The sequence below is a fragment of the Homo sapiens genome, chromosome 20 (genome assembly GCF_000001405.40).
Source record: "Homo sapiens chromosome 20, GRCh38.p14 Primary Assembly".
NCBI lineage: Eukaryota > Metazoa > Chordata > Mammalia > Primates > Hominidae > Homo > Homo sapiens.
This window is the reverse complement of record NC_000020.11, coordinates 45162300-45178924: the sequence shown is the minus strand read 5'-3', so window position 1 is coordinate 45178924 and position 16625 is coordinate 45162300. Positions and strand designations below refer to the sequence as shown.

The 16625-nt window shown below is 39.0% G+C and overlaps 1 protein-coding gene across 1 annotated transcript, besides 1 other annotated feature; it reads right to left on the bottom strand.

Annotated features, from left to right (window-relative positions):
- Positions 1-2380: 2380 nt before the first annotated feature.
- On the bottom strand, positions 2381-4023 carry PI3 (peptidase inhibitor 3). Its single transcript, NM_002638.4, has 3 exons — positions 3924-4023; positions 2789-3064; positions 2381-2555 (listed from the first exon to the last, which is right to left on the bottom strand). The coding sequence occupies exons 1-2, from the start codon at positions 4000-4002 to the stop codon at positions 2790-2792; spliced, it is 354 nt and encodes a 117-aa protein (NP_002629.1). The 5' UTR covers positions 4003-4023; the 3' UTR covers positions 2381-2555; position 2789.
- Positions 3234-4433: an enhancer, noted in NCBI's record as "BRD4-independent group 4 enhancer chr20:43803133-43804332 (GRCh37/hg19 assembly coordinates)". NCBI's record gives its function as "activates an origin of replication core promoter dependent on BRD2, P300/CBP, MED14 and CDK7 cofactors, and independent of BRD4, by STARR-seq in HCT116 cells {active_cell/tissue: HCT116}" and the evidence as "EXISTENCE:reporter gene assay evidence [ECO:0000049][PMID:35650434]".

Here is a 16625-nt window from a genome sequence, read left to right as displayed (position 1 = left end):
CCACCCTCTCCTACTGCAGTCAGAGGACTATTCCAAATGGCAGGGTCTTCTTGGGAGATGTGTCCCTGCCTGACTGAACATGAAAGGAATTACAGTCTCTGTTCCACAGCAAATCCTGGATGGAAGAAACCACTGGTCTCTGTGAGATCTTGAGTTGCTCAGCTACCTTGCTAGGCATGGACTGTCATCCTGGCCTGCTTCCTGAGCGAAAAGAAAGTGTCTTTTTGGAACCTTTCAATTTTTCTCTCTCAGTGGCTTAATCTTTGCCTGAATTCAGACCAGAGTTAGTTCTTTTGTTTTTGCAAATAGTGAACCTACCGTCTGAATCTTGTTTCTTAAAAAATTCAAGTTTTCTTCATTGTTTTGGAACTTGACATTGATCTTTACCTGAATTAGATATAATGAGGCCTGATTCTGGGTTTTCTTTTGTTTTCTATTGATTTCTCAACCTGACTATTCTTCTAATAAAAACAACATATTGATTATTGTTACTTTGCAAAACTTTTTTTTAAGTCTAGGAGGTTCCAGAGCCCTAGGGTTAATCTTCATTTGTAAACATCTACGCCTATTCACAAGAATTTATGCTTCCCCATAAACTTAAGTATGGTTTCAAGTTCCCTTAACCTCCATAACCACACCATATTAAAAATGGATTTTGGGTATAATACACCTTAGGGATAAATTAAATAAATATTAAATATTGAGTAAATAGTGACATCTTCACCACATAGTCTTCATGTATTGTGATATGTGCATATTCATGTATTGTGAGTATGTGTATATTCAAGCATTTTTATATGCCTCTGAAAAGTTACATAGATTTCTCTTCTAAAGCTCTGCCTCTCTCTTGTTTATTTATAGCAATGGTGTGATTTTGTTGATATTAATAATAGAAAATGCAGCATGTCTAACTGATTGTTGCTAGCATATAATAAAAATATCATTTACTATCACTTACTAACCTTGTGGCTTTTAATGGTTACTTAATCTCTCTTAGCTTCAATCTTTTTACAAAATTAGAAAATAAAATATGTATAATGGCCATCTGAAAGGGACTTATGAAAAATAAGTGACAATACATGTAATCTACTAGGTATAGGAAATAGAGTAAATATTAAAAAACAGAAACCATTATTTCCTCCAATGATGTATTTTGTATTTGTCAAGCCAGAAGTTTGGGTACTGCTGTCACCTGTACTCCAAGACACCCTAGTGTCAAAGCCCTACAGTTGTTCGGACTAGCCTCTGAACAATAGGGAAAAATCATGGCTCAGATGCTCGTGGATGGGGCAAAGTGGTGCAGGGATCCACATTGTCTCACCCCAAGCCTCTGCTCCCCATGTCATCTCAGAGCAAGAACCCAATACACAAAGAAGAGCTGTTTCATATCCCAGAGTGGCAGGATTAGACCTTCCTTTGCAGAATAATTATACCTTACCCCCTCAACTGAAATAGACCTCTGAGGCCTGGAAGGGGGACATACATTTGCCAGAGGTCACCCAATACGTGGGGAGGCAAAGCCAGTGCTGAGATCACCTGACTGTCAAGCCTGTGCTTATTCCCCTTCACCCAGGCTGCTCCCCTCCTGGGGGCTGTGGCCTTCTCTGAGAGTTTCCTTGTGCAATCGCAGTGGGACGAGTGGGTCAACAGGAGAGCCATGAGGTTGCTCATATTCCTGCCCCTTTCTCCACTACTCAAGTCTGCCCTGCCCCCAACATGTATGTCTCCAGAGAATGCTATTCACCCAAACCTCTGACACCATAGTATGAAGGACTTAGTGTATCTTGCCTCCTCATTCACATCTTAAAACAGAAATCTGGAAGAGAATATTGCTTAACCTAAAGGAATGCTACTTCATGGAGGAATCTCAGGCATAAACCAGTGAAATTCTAAAGAGCAGGAGTTTCGCAGCATCTGTAACATCATCCTTTCTATGTGGTGTTGAAAAGATATAGATTCCTGGGAAACATTAATGAGAAGGAAGTGGGGAGCTGTAGTTGCAGCCATAAGGGTTGGCTGGTCACACTGGTAAGGCCGACAGTAGCCAGGTCAGGACTGATGGTGGATTGGAAAAAAAAGACCTGCTTATGGTTTATGTAATGTTTATTTATTTTTTGTGTTTTGTGTTTTTCCTGGTCCTTGGCCAAAGGCAAGATTTCCATATTTCCATTTCCTGGTGAAAAGGAGCTGGCAGCACTGGGGCTGATTATTGGATTTGTAATATGAAGCCCTAGCAATGTGCCTCCTGTTTCCTCCCCCCGCCCTGCTCTCTTTCACCATGGGACCGTTTCCCCTCTTCACTGGAGAGAAGAAGTCCCAATTCTACATCCATTTCCCCAAAGCATCCAGGAGCCCAGAAGTCATAGGAACCAGAAACAAGTGGAGCAGAAGGAACTCTTTATTGGAAAGTGGATGAGAGAGGCAGCTCCAGCCGTGGGCATCCTGAATGGGAGGAAGAATGGACAGTGTGGGAAGGGGAAGGGCAGCAGGGACTTAGGACCAGATGGGGCCTGTAGCTCTGGGGACGGCACAGGTGCAGCAAGGACCGGCTCCCTCTGTGGAAGAGAAGAGTATCAGAGGTGAGAGTCAGCACATCAAAGCACTCAGAGGCAGTGAGGAAGACAGATCATCCTTCTAGGCACTCTGGTTATAGCCTCTCAGACCCCTCAGTCTCCCAGTCTTTCTGTCACCTCCCACAACCTCCCTCCCACCAACCTGGGATGCTTCCCCACCGCTCAGCCTTCTTTTGTGTCTTCAGGGGTCTCCTCGTTCTCCAGCTAGTGCTCACCTCACTGGGGAACGAAACAGGCCATCCCGCAAGAGCCTTCACAGCACTTCTTGATTCCTGGGCAGTCAGTATCTTTCAAGCAGCGGTTAGGGGGATTCAACATGGCGCACCGGATCAAGATAATGGGGCAGGAGCCAGGCTTAGTGGAGACTGGACCTTTGACTGGCTCTTGCGCTTTGACTTTATCTTGACCTTTAACTGAAACTTGTCCTTTAACGGGATCTTGTCCATTGAATGGAACACGGCCTTTGACAGTGTCTTGACCTTTAACAGGAACTGTTAAAAGAAGAAACGAGCCCACATTTATACCCAGTAAGCCTCTGCTTCAGCTGCCATGTCTTTCCTCTGGGTCTGGGTCCATCCACTGCTTACTGCAGCATCCTCAAACCATGGCCTGAGTAGGGAAGGTACACCTCTGGGAGCTACACTCTTGGAAGGCTCTTCCTTTTTTGGGGTGGTCTACTGGACCAGAGTTCCCTTGAGTATTTGTTTCTTCCCCCTTCCTCCACTCCAAGTCTCTCAGGAGCAGTGGTCAGACTGGGGTGACACCCAGCAGTGAAGAGGACACATTGTCATTTGTTAGGAAGTGCATTGGAGTAGGAAAGAACCCTGAGCCACATACTAGGAGACTTGAGCCCCATCCTGGCTCTGGGAATTACCTTGGCAATTGCTCACTCATTTCTACATTTTTGGTTCCCTCCTTATAAAATGGGGGTCCTCAAACAACATGATTCCTGAAGGCTTGTTGTTTCTTAACCTCCTTTTAGAGTACTGATTACTCCAGTGCTTTTATGGGGCAGAGAAACGGGGGACTGTGTCCACACCCAAGGTTTAAAATCCTGGAGTTCATTATTTTATTGCACATTCTGCACAGGTATTGACATCTGAGGCCAAGGCCACATACCAACATTACTTCCACAAACAGTCCTGATATCTCAGTCACTGAGGTGGAAAGCACGTGGAGTCCACCAGCCAAAGTCCTATTTTTTCTGAATATGATGGCAAAGAACAGAAAGCTGAAATCTGGGCTCCAGTGCTGCCTACTGCTTCAGAAGTGCTCCCTGTCCTGGCCCAGGGTGTCCCAGAGGGTCTCCCCTTAGTCCAACCCAGCCCAGCAGGTCACCTGTTCACTCACCTCCCGTGACAGCTGCCTCTAGAACCAGCGTCCCAGCGATGAGGAACACCACCACGATCAAGAAGCTGCTGGCCCTCATGGTGTCAGGAAGGTGTTTGGCTAAGAGCTAAGGCCATACCAATCTTTATGCAGTCCAGCTTGGCCTGGCTCCAGGGGCGGGTCTGTGGTATTTACAAGGGATAATTCCTTAGCTGTATTGGGAAATATCCACCCCATTCTGGGAGGGACCTGGGGGCTTTCCCTCAGGATTATTCACAGGAAGAACTAATGGACATTACATCACATCATCTCTGATTGTCCCAAGAGTTTTCCTACTTTCTCACAGAGTAGAAGTGCTGGCTCACTTATTAGGTAACATTACAATGAAATTCTTCATGTTTTGAAATACAGTGAGACCCAAGAAGAGAAAGGAATCACCGAAGGTTATTCAGCAAGTCACTGGTAGATCCAGTCTTGATTACAAAACCAAGGTGTTTCTCCATTATGCTCTGGTGCTACAAACCCCACCCAGATCTACTTTATCATTTTACCACTCCCAGCATCAAACTGGGCATTTCCTTCCTTCTTCCCTGGTCCTGCAAAAAACTCTGTAAGACAAATTTGCCTTGAATACATAATGACTAATTATTGCACTTTGCTGTTTCAGAGACGGCCTTTCAGATGCATCAAGAAAGTAATTGGAAGGTGGAATTCTAGGTCTGAAGAGGGATGATGCCCTTGAAATCACAGTGGTAGGGAGAAAATAATCAGAAAGTAGTAGAAAACATGTATCATGTATACATTGGACATCTACAGTGTGTGTGTCCAGCATGCCTCCCCACTTCTTTGAACAGCACCCTGTTTCTTGTGAAGAATTGTTGTCTCTTTGAACCATCAACTTGTGAGTCTAATGGGGACTGCTAATCATGAAAGCCTGACCCCTGACCACAGGTAGGGGTGTGTGTGTGTGTGTGTGTGTGTGAGTGTGTGTGTGTGTGTTGTGTGTGAGACTTGGTCTGGTCTATTAACATATTTTATTTGAATGAGTAATGAAAGGGGAAAACGGGGGTTCCTTCTTCTGGAAAAGGTGATATATATGAACCAGGGAATTCCAGAAGTGGTTATCTAAGTCTGGGGGTGGAGATCAATTGTCTGAGAAAAACGACTCTAATACACTGAGACAAGGAGAGAAGTGATGGTGAGAGAAGATTCAGATGACACAGCCAGGTTTCCCTCCTTTACCTTGAGAGCAGTTCTTCACACACCCTTCTCATGGTTGGGTTATGAGGCAATAAATTAGCCCTCTGCTTCAGCTAGTCTGACTTACTATTCTGTCATTGTTACCAAAAGTTCTGAGTAATAGAAATGAATATCCTGAAGTTGGGTATTGTCAGGGACAGAATCTGAGTTAAGAAAGTCACTGAGTTGAGGTGGAGTTAAGGCAGGGAAGGTAACAAACTAATTATTGGACACTAATTCAGCTGGTGAAATCCCCACCCCTTGTCGATTTAGACTCTGACCACATGCCCACCAAGCCTGAAACTGAGGGAGACATAAACGAATGTCAGACTGTGGAAGCCTTTGGCTACCTTACACAAAAGCTCATTGTACAATAAGCCATACAAACAAATAAAAAGCTCACAGAAAATACCTATATTCTTTAAAGAATAGCATTAAAATGAGCTGCCAGGTAAAGGAGGAGAATATTTGCTATATCTATGCTCCATGCCTCTCCTCAGTTGCTTCATTCTCCTTCCTCCCCAGAGATAACTGCTTCCTAAGATTTTATGGTAATTAGCCCTTGCTTTCCTTTATAGTTATGCCACTTCTGTCTGTATTCTGAAATATATATTCAGTTTAGTATACTTTTTCAATTTGTATGTAAATGAAATCTAAGGTATAGTGTTCATATGTCCTGCTTATGTTGCTCAACATTATATTTTTGAGAGTCATCCATTTTGAAGTCTACACCTGTAGTTCATCATTTTCACTGCTGTACAGTATTCTATGAAAAATACCAAAAATGTTATATATTCATTCTACTGTCAATATACATTGGATATTTCTAGGTTTTAGCTATTATAGTGTTGCTATGAATATTCTTGTACATATCTCTTGCAGAACATAGGTATGCATTTATTTTGGATATATGGTTAGGAATGGAATTGCTGGATCACAGAGTACAGATCACAGAGTATAGATACATCCAGCTGTCATAAATACTGCAATCAATTTTCCAACATCATTGTACCAATTCACACTGCTATCAGCAATGTGTGAGCATTCCATTTGCTCCATAATCTCACCAATGCCTCATATGATTTGCCTTTTCATTAGCCATTCAGGTGGACATCTTGTGGGATTTCCTGTGATTTGAATTTACACTTTCCTAATAACTGGTGAAGCTGACCCATTTTTAATACTCCTTTTTTTTTTTTTTTTTTTTTTGAGATGGAATTTCGCTCTTGTCACCCAGGCTGGAGTTCAATGGCACAATCTCAGCTCACTGCAACCTCCACCTCCCAGGTTCAAGTGATTCTCTTGCCTCAGCCTCCCAAGTAGCTGGGATTACAGGCACATGCCACCATGCCCAGCTAATTTTTATATTTTGCAGTTTCACCATGTTGGTCAGGCTTGTCTCGAACCGCTGACCTCAGATGATGCACCTGCCTTGGCCTCCCAAAGTGCTAGGATTACAGACATGAGCCACTGCACCCGGCCCATTTTTAATATTTCTATTATCCATTTGGCTATCCTCTTTTGTGAAGTGCCAATTCAAGTATCTTACCTTTTATTTACTTATTTATTTAATTTCAACTTTTATTTTAGATTTGAATGGGTTGTTTATCTTTTCTTATTGATTTGTAGTAGAAAAGAAACTTTTATGCATTACTAATGAGAGTCTATATTGGTGAAACATTTAAAAACAGTTTGACATCAGCTAGTAAAATTGAATGTGTACACAATCTATAATTCAGCAATTGCACTCCTAAAGATTTAATTAAGGAAAATATTTCCACATGTTTACCAAGAAACATGCACAATAATGTTCATAAAAGTACTGTTTTTAACAATAACATACTGGAAACAGTCCATGTTACCAATACTAAAATACTGGATAAATATGTCATGACATATTAATGCATAAATATGTCATGACATATTAATGCAAGGAAGTATTATACAATTATGAAAATAACTGAATTACAGCCATGCACAATATGACCATAATTAAAATAATGTTGAATAAACAACACAAGTCCACAGTGACAATATTTAGAATTACCCACTTGTCATAAAACTCAAATGAAGGAGAACTGGGAAATATATTGCCTAGGCATATTTACATATGAAGCAAAGCTCAAAAAGGGATACATAAAAAATGAAAAAACTATAAAAATGACATACAAGATAGTGGCTAACTCTGGAAACGAGAGAAGAAAACATTCTGGATGGGTGAGAAGGACACGGGTTGATTTAAGTTGTTGGTTATTAGTAATGTTCTAGTTCTTTGATTGCTTGGAGAGAGAGAGAGAGAGAGAAAGCTGCAGAGCGAATCATTTATAGACTACCTTAGCTTTCAATAAACCCACATTGCTACCCTCGCAAGTTGTTTCCAATATTTTGCCATTACAAACTATACCACATGTGGCCTTTCTTAGCTTGCTTTCTTGTGAACCAGATTCCCAGAAGTATATTTGCTTATACAAAGGTGAAATGCATTTGAAATTTTGATAATATTGCCATATTTCCCTTGATAGGGGTTGTACCATATTGTAATCCCACCAGTAGTGGATAAACTTGCCTGCTGTTTCCATCAAGCCTCATGAACAGACTGTGTGTCTAATTTTGGGGTTTTATTTTTAACTTTTATTTTAGTTTCAGGGGTACATGTGCAGGTTTGTTGTATAGGTAAATTTCATGTCATGGGGGGGTTCGTGTGCAGAAGTATTTCATCACCAGGTAATCAGCATAGTACTCGATTCGTGTTTTGATCCTCACGCTCCTCCCATTCTCTACCCTCAAGTAGGCCCTAGTGTCCATTGTTCCCTTCTTTGTGTCCATATGTACTCAATGTTCAGTTTTCATTTATACGTGAGAAAATGTGGTATTTTCTTTTCTGTTCTTGTGAAAGTTTGCTTAGGATAATGGCCTCCAGCTCCATCCATGTTGCTGCAAAGGACATGATCTTGTTCTTTTTTATGACTCGTAGTATTCTATGGTGTTTACATACCACATTTTCTTTATCCAGTCTATCATTGATGAGCAATTAGGTTGATTCTATGTCTTTGATACTGTGAATAGTTCTGTGATTCACATACTACATGGATGTGTCTTTATGATAGAATGATTTATATTCCTTTGGGTATATAACCATTAATGGAATATCTTGGGTTGAATGGTAATTCTGTTTTAAGTTCTTTGAGAAATTGCCATACTGCTTTCCATGCTGGCTGAACTAATTTACATTCCTACCAGCAGTGTATAAATGTTCCCTTTTCTCTACAACCTTGACAGCATATGTTATGTTATAACGACTGGTGTGAGATGCTATCTCAATTACTGTTTGGATTTTCATTTCTCTAATGATCTGTGATGTTGAGCATTTTTTCATTTGTTTGTTGGCAACATGTATGTTTTCTTTTGAGAAGTTTCTGTTCATGTCCTTTGCCCACTTTCTAATGGGGTTGTCTGTTTTTTGCTTGTTAACTGGTTTAAGTTCCTTATAGATTCTGGATATTAGACCTTTGTTGGACACATAGCTCACAAATATTTTCTTCTATTCTGTAGGTTGTTGGTTTACTGTGCTGATAGTTTCTTTTGCTGTGCGGAAGCTTTTTAGTTTAACTAGGTCCTATTTGTCAAGTTTTGTTTTTGTTGCTATTGCTTTTGGCATCTTCATCATGAAATATTTACCAAGTTCTACGTCCAGAATCATATTTCCTAGGTTACCTTGCAGGGTTTTATAGTTTTATGTTTTACATTTAAGTCTTTAATACATCTTGAGTAGATTTTTGTATATGGTTTAAGGAAGGGGTACAATTTCAGTCTTCTGCATATGGCTAGCCAGTTATTCCAGAATCATTTATTTAATAGGAAGTCCCTTCCCCCATTGTTTCTTTTTTTGTTGATTTTGTTGAAGATTAGATAGTTGTAGGTTTGCAGCATTAATTATTTCTGGGCTCTGTAATGTTCCATTGTTCTAGGTATCTGTTTTTGTACCAGTACCATGCAGTTTTGGTTACTGCAGCCTTGAAGTATAGTTTGCAGTCAAGCAATGTGTCACCTCCCGCTTTGTTCTTTTTGCTTAGGATTGACTCAGCTATTCAGGCTCTTTTTTGGTTCCATATAAATTTTAAAATAGTTTTTTCTACTTTTGTGAAGAATGTCATTGGTAGTTTCATAGGAATAGAATTGAATCTGTAAATTGTTTTGGGTAGTATGGCCATTTTAACAATATTGATTCTTCCTAACCATGAGCATAGGAATGTTTTTCCATTTATTTGTGTCATCTCTTATTTCTTTGAGTAGTGGTTTGTAATTCTTGTTGTAAAGATGTTTCACTTCCTGGGTTAACTATATTCCTAGGAATTTTTTTCTTATTTGGCTATTGTTAATGAGATTGCATTTCTGATTTATCTCAGCTTAGATTTGTTGGTATATAGGAATGCTGCTGACTTTTGTGCATTAATTTTGTATCCTGAAACTTTTCTGAAGTGGTTTATCAGATCAAGAAGCTTTTAGACAGAAACTATGGGGTTTTCTAGGTATAGAATCATATTGCCTGCAAACAGGGATAGTTTAACTTCCTCTCTTCCTATTTGGAAACTTCTTATTTCTTTCTCTTTCCTGATTCCTCTAGCTAGGACTTCCAGTGCTATGTTGAATAGGAGAGGTGAGAGAGGGAATCCTTGTCTTGTTCTGTTATTCAAGGGAAATGCTTCCAGCTTTTGCCCATTTACTATTATCCTGGCTGTAGGATTTTCAGAAATGACTCATTACTTTCAAGTATGTTCCTTCAATGCCTAGTTTGTGGAGGGTTTTTAACATGAAGGAACACTGAACATTATCAAAACCTTTTTCTGCATCTGTTGTGATAATCACATTTTTGTTTTTAGTTCTGTGTATGTAGTGAATCACAATTATTAATTCACAAGTGTTGAACCAACCTTGCATCCCAAAGTTAAAGCCTACTTGATCATGGTGGATTCACTTCTTGATGTGTTGTTGGATTTGATTTGCTAGTAATTTTTTAAGGAGTTTTGCATCAGTGTTTGCCAAGGACAATGGCCTGAAGTTTTTTTTGTTGTTGTGTCTCTGCCAGGTTTTGGTATCAGGATGATGCCTAATAGAATGAGTTGGGGAGGAGTCCCTCCTCTCCAGTTTTTTGGAATAGTTTCAGTAGGAGCAATATGAGCTTTTCTTTATACATGTTATAAATTTGACTGTGAATTGTTTGGTCCTGAGCTTTTTCTTGTTGGTAGGCTTTTTTTTTTTTTGAAGTTAATAGCCTTTTAATTTTTTTATGTATACATTTTTATTATACTTTAAGTTCTAGGGTACATGTACACAACATGCAGGTTTGTTACATATGTATACATGTGCCATGCTGGTGTGCTGCACCCATTAACTCGTCATTTACATTAGGTATATCTCCTAATGCTATCCCTCCCCGCTCCCCATGACAGGCCCTGGTGTGTGATGTTCCCCTTCCTGTGTCCAAGTGTTCTCATTGTTCAATTCCCACCTATGAGTGAGAATATGCGGTGTTTGGTTTTTTGTCCTTGTGATAGTTTGCTGAGAATTATGGTTTCCAGCTTCATCCATGTCCCTACAAAGGACACGAACTCATCCTTTTTTATGGCTGCATAGTATTCCATGATGTATATGGGCCACATTTTCTTAATCCAGTCTATCATTGATGGAATTTTGGGTTGGTTCCAAGTCTTTGCTATTGTGAATAGTGCTGCAATAAACATACGTGTCCATGTGTCTTTATAGCCGCATGATTTATAATCCTTTGGGTATATACCCAGTAATGGGATGGCTGGGTCAAATAGTATTTCTAGTTCTAGATCCTTGAGGAATCCCCACACTGTCTTCCACAATGGTTGAACTAGTTTACAGTCCCACCAACAGTGTAGAAGTGTTCCTGTTTCTCCACATCATCTCCAGTACCTGTTGTTTCCTGACTTTTTAATGATCACCATTCTAACCAGTGTGAGATGGTATCTCATTGAGGTTTTGATTTGCATTTCTCTGATGGCCAGTGATGATCAGCATTTTTTCATGTGTCTATTGGCTGCATAAATGTCTTCTTTTTAGAAATGTCTGTTCATATCCTTTGCCCACTTTTTGATGGGGTTGTTTGTTTTTTTCTTGTAAATTTGTTTGAGTTCTTTGTAGATTCTGGATATTAGCCCTTTGTCAGATGAGTAAATTGCAAAAATTTTCTCCCATTCCGTAGGTTGCCTGTTCACTCTGTTCACTCTGTTGGTAGTTTCTCTTGCGGTGCAGCAGCTCTTTAGTTTAATTAGATCCCATTTGTCAATTTTGGCTTTTGTTGCCATTGCTTTTGGGATTCAATTTCTTTCTGATTGAATCTTAAGGTTGTACAATTCTAGAATATTATCCATTTGCTTTAGGTTTTCTAATTTGTCTGCAGAGTGTTCCAAGTAGTCTCCGAGAGTTGTTTGTATTTCTGTGGGGTTAGTGATAACATCCCCTTTGTGATTTCTGGTTGTGTTTACTTGGATCTTCTCTCTTTTTTTCTTTATCCCCCTAGCTAATAATATATCAATCTTCTTTATTCTTTTAAGGAAACAGCTTCTGGATTCATTGAATTTTGCGTGTTTTTTTGTGTCTCAATTTCCTTCAGTTCAGCTCTTACTTTTGTTACTTCTTGTCTTCTGCTAGATTTGGTGTTGGTTTACTCTGGTTTCTCTAGTTCCTCTAGTTGTAATCTTAAGTTGTTAATTTGAGATCTTTCTAACTTTTTAATGTGGGCATTTAGTGTTATAAACTTTTCCCTTAACACTGCTTTGGCTATGTCCCACAGATTCTGGTATGCTGTATTTTTTTTTCACTAGTTTTGAAGAATTTCTTGATGTCTGCCTTAATTTCATTATTTACTGAGACATCATTAAGAAGCTGGTTGTTTAATTTCCATGTAATTGCATGGCTTTGAGCAATTTTCTTTGCATTGATTTCTATTTTTATTGTGCTGTGGTCCAAGAGTGTGGTTGGTATGAATGTGGTGTTTTTGAATTTGCTGAGGATTGTTTTATGTCAAATTGTGAGGTCAATTTTAGAGTATGTGGCAAGTGCAAATGAGAAGAGTGAGTATTATGTTGGTTTTGGGTGGGGAGTCCTGTAGATATCTGTTAGGTCCATTTGGTTCAGTGTTGAGTTCAGGTCCCAAATATCTTTGTTATTTTCTGCCTCAAAGATCTGTCTAATTCTGTCAGTGGGGTGTTAAAGTCTCCCACTATTATTGTGTGGTTATCTAAGTTTCTTCATAGGTCTTTAGGAGCTTGACTTAGGAATCTGGGTGCTCCTGTGCTAGATGCATATATATTTAGCAGAGCTAGGTCTTCATGCTGAACTAAGCCTTTCACCATTCTCTAATGCCCTTCTTTGTGTGTGTGTGTGTGTTTTTAATCTCTATTGGTTTAAAGTCTGTTTTGCCTGAAATTAGAATAGGAACACCTGGCTTTTTCTGTGTTGTGTCTGTTTGGTAGATTTTTCTGCATCCCTTTACTTTGAGCCTATAGGTGTCATTGCATGTGAGATGGACTCTTGAAGACAGCATACAGTTGTGTCTTGGTTCTCTATCCAACTTACCACTCTGTGCCTTTTAATTGGGACATTTAGCCTTTTTACATTCAAGGTTAATATAGATAGGTGTGGTTTTGATCCTGTCATTGTATTGTTACCTGGTTAATACAAAATTTGGTTGTGTGGTTGCTTTATAGTGTCAATGGTTTATGTACTTAAGTGTGTTTTTTAGTGGCTGGTAATGGTCTTTTCTTTCCATATTTATCACTCCCTTTAGGGCCTTTTGTAAGGCAGGTCTGGTGGTAATGAATTCTCTTTGCATTTCCTTCCTTGAAAAAGATTGTATTTCTCCTTGACTTATGAAGCTTAGTTTGGCTGGATATTAAATTCTCGGTTGGAATTTCTTTTCTTTAAAAATGCTGAATATAGGCCCCCAATTTCTCCTGGCTTGTATAGTTTCTGCTGACAGGTTTGTCATTAGCCTGATGGGCTTCCCTTTGTAGGTGACCTGCCTCTTCTTTCTAGCTGCCCTTAACATTTTTTTTTTATTTTGATCTTGGAGAATCTGATGATTATGCATCTTGGGATTGGTCATCTAGTATGATATTTTGCAGGGGTTCTCTACATGTCCTGAATTTGAATCTTGGCCTCTCTAGTGAGGTTGGGCAAATTTTCGTGGGTAATATTCTCAAATATGTTTTCCAAGTTCCTCACTTTCTCTCCCTCCTTTCGGGAACACCAGTGAGTCACAGATTTGGTCTCTTTACATATTCCCATATTTCTTGGAGGTTTTCCTCATTCTTCATAATCGTTTTCATTTTATTTTTGTCTGACTGAGTTATTTTGAAGAACCAAAATAGCTTTGAGGTCTTAAGCTCTGAGATTCTTTCCTCATCTTGGTTGATTCTACTTGCAATTGTATTCTGAAAACCTTGAAGTCAGATTTTCAGTTCTATCAGATCAGTTTTGTTCTTTCTTGAAATGGCCACTATATCTTTATTCCTGGTATCATTTTATTGTATTCCTAAGATTTCATGGAATGGGTTTTTACTTTCTCCTGAATCTCAATCATCTTCATTCCTATCCATATTCTGAATTCTATTTCTGCCATTTCAGCCATTTAAGCCTGGTTAAGAACCATTTCTGGAAAACTAATATGGTCATTTGGAGGTAAAAACACACTGCCACCTTTTGAGTTGCCAGAGTTCTTGCGTTGGTTCTTTCTCATCTTTGCAGGCAATGTTCCTTCAACATTTGAAGTTGCTGTCCTTTGGATGAGTTGTTTTTTGTTTTGTTTGCTTTTATCTTCTTTGATGCCCTTGGGTGGTTGATTTTGCTATAAGTTGAGTTCAGTCAACTGGGTTCATTTCTGGCATGATTTTAAGGCCCAAGGCTCAGTTCAGGACCCCTGGACTGCATGCTCTAACTCTGGAGTGGGGGTGGTAACAGGCCCCTAGCTTTATTCTTGGGCCCCTCAAAGTTAGAAACCTGCTGCTCTGGATTGCTGAGGTGTTCTCAGTCCTCTGGCCATAATATTCCAATGTGTGGTACTGGCCAAAGCACTTCATTGAGCAGTGGCAGTGGGATTCATGCTCACTCACACATTAGTATAACCTTCTATATGTTTTTATTGTCACATCATGTACCCATTAATGAGCTTTATAATAATATTCTCATGCATTTGCCTTTAAATCTTATAGAAAAGTGGGAAGTTACAAGTAATTCATAATGTTGGCTTCTATATTTACCTATGTAGTTACTTTTACCAGTGTTCTTTCTTTCTTTGTATGACTTTGAATAGTGTCTAGTTTCTTTTCATTTCAGCCTGAAGAACTCCCTTTAGCATTTCTTATAGAGTAAGTCTCCTAACTACAAACTCTCACTTTTTTATACTAGGAATGTCTTCATTTCTCCTTCATTTTTGAAGGATAATTATGCTACATACAGAATTCTTGGCTGATAGGTTTTTTTTTCAGCACTTTGAAAATGTTTTCTCATTGCCTTCTGACAAACATGGTTTCTGGCAAGAAATCTGAAGCTAATATCTTAAGAATCTATTGTATGTAGTGAGTTACTTCTCTCTTGCTGCTTTATGGCTTCTCCCTTTGTCTTTGAGCTTCAACAATTGGATATAATATGCATAAATGTAGGTTTCTTTAAGTTTATACTGCTTGGAGTTCTTTGAGATTCACGGAAATATAGAGTCACATATATCATCAAGAATGTGACTATTGCCATTATTACTTCAAATATTTTTTCTTCCCCTTTGTGTTTTTCTTGTTCTGGGACTTCCATTATGCCTATGTAGGTAAGCTTGATGATGTCCCACAGTATTCTCAGGCATGTTCTTTTTTCTTCCTTTTTCCTTTGTTCTACAGATGGGATCATTTCAAAAGACATATCTTGAAGTTTACTGATACTTTCTCTTGCCTTCCCAAATATTTTGAATCTCATTAGTACATTTTTTCTTTCTCTTGTGCTTAGAGTTTCACAATGATTAGCCATTAAGCTTTTAAAACAAACTTCCTTACAAAGTTTTTCTCAAGACCAGAGAAGAAGGAAAGAAAAGCCCAGTGTGATACTGGGAGGAGTAAAATGATAGGGTAGATCTGGGTGGGGTTTGTAGGATGAGGACATAATAGGGAAACACCCTGGCTTTATAATCAAGACTGGATTTCCCAGTGAGTAGCTGAATGACCTTGGGTAACTCTCTTCTATTCTTGGGTCTCAGAGTGTTTGAAAATATTAAGAATTTGATTGCAATGTTGCCTGAGAAGTGAGCCAGCACTTCTTCTCTGCAAGAAAGTAGAAAAGCTCTTGGGAGAATCAGTGGTGATGTGATGTAATGTAATGTCTGTCGCTTATCCCAGTGAATAATTTTTGGGTAAAGATTCCAGGGCCCTCCATAAAGGGGTGGATATTTCCTGATAGAGCTAAGGCTATGTCTTGTTCCTTGTAAATACCAGACCCACCCCTGGAGCCAGGCCAAGCTGGGACTGCATAAAGACAGATTTGGTCTCAGCTCTTTGTCAAGCACCTTACTGACAATATGAAAGCCAGCAGCTTCTTGGTCCCAATGGTGGTCCTCATCCTTAGGACACTGGCAGTAGAGGCAGCTGTAATGGGAGATGAGTGAACAGATGTCCTGATGGGACTGGGTTGGACAAACAATAGTCTCTCTGGAGTCTCCTGGGTCAAGACAGGTGGCACTTCTGGAGCAATAGGCAGCACTGGAGCCCACACCTTAGCTTTCTGGCCTTTGCCATCATATCCAGAAAAACATGAGGTCTACTGGCCAATGTTCTGTTTTCAGAGGTACATTAAAAATGCTTGAATAAACATGTATGATGATCCTAAATAGTAAGACTTTACACAGTCAAGATGTCAATAATTACACAGAAATTAAACAACTTGCTCCTGAATGAAGAAAGCTATAGTTTTATAGTTTCAGGTCTTACATTTAGGTTTGTAATACATTTAAAATTGATGCTTGTATAAGGGGTGAGATAAGAGTCTGTTTTCACTCTTCTCTATGTAGATATTCCATTTTCCCAACATTAAGTGAGAAATTTAAAAATTCTTTGAAATTGATGAAAATAGACAAAAACAACATTATTAAAATAATTTGGGATGCAGCTAAAGCAGTGTTAAGAGGAAAGTTTATAGCACTGAAGACCTAAACCAAAAGGATAGAAAGATCTCAAATTAACAATATAACATCACACTGAGAGAAACTTGGAAAACAAGAGCAAACCAAACCCAAAGCTAGTAGAAGAAAAGAAATAACTAAAATAAGTAGATCTGAATAAAATTAGGATGTAAAAAGTCATACAAAAGCCAACGAAACCAAAAGTTGGTTCTTTGAAAGAATAAACTAGATTGATAGACCATTAGCTAGATTACAAAGACAAAAAGAGAATATCCAAATAAACACAATCAGAAATA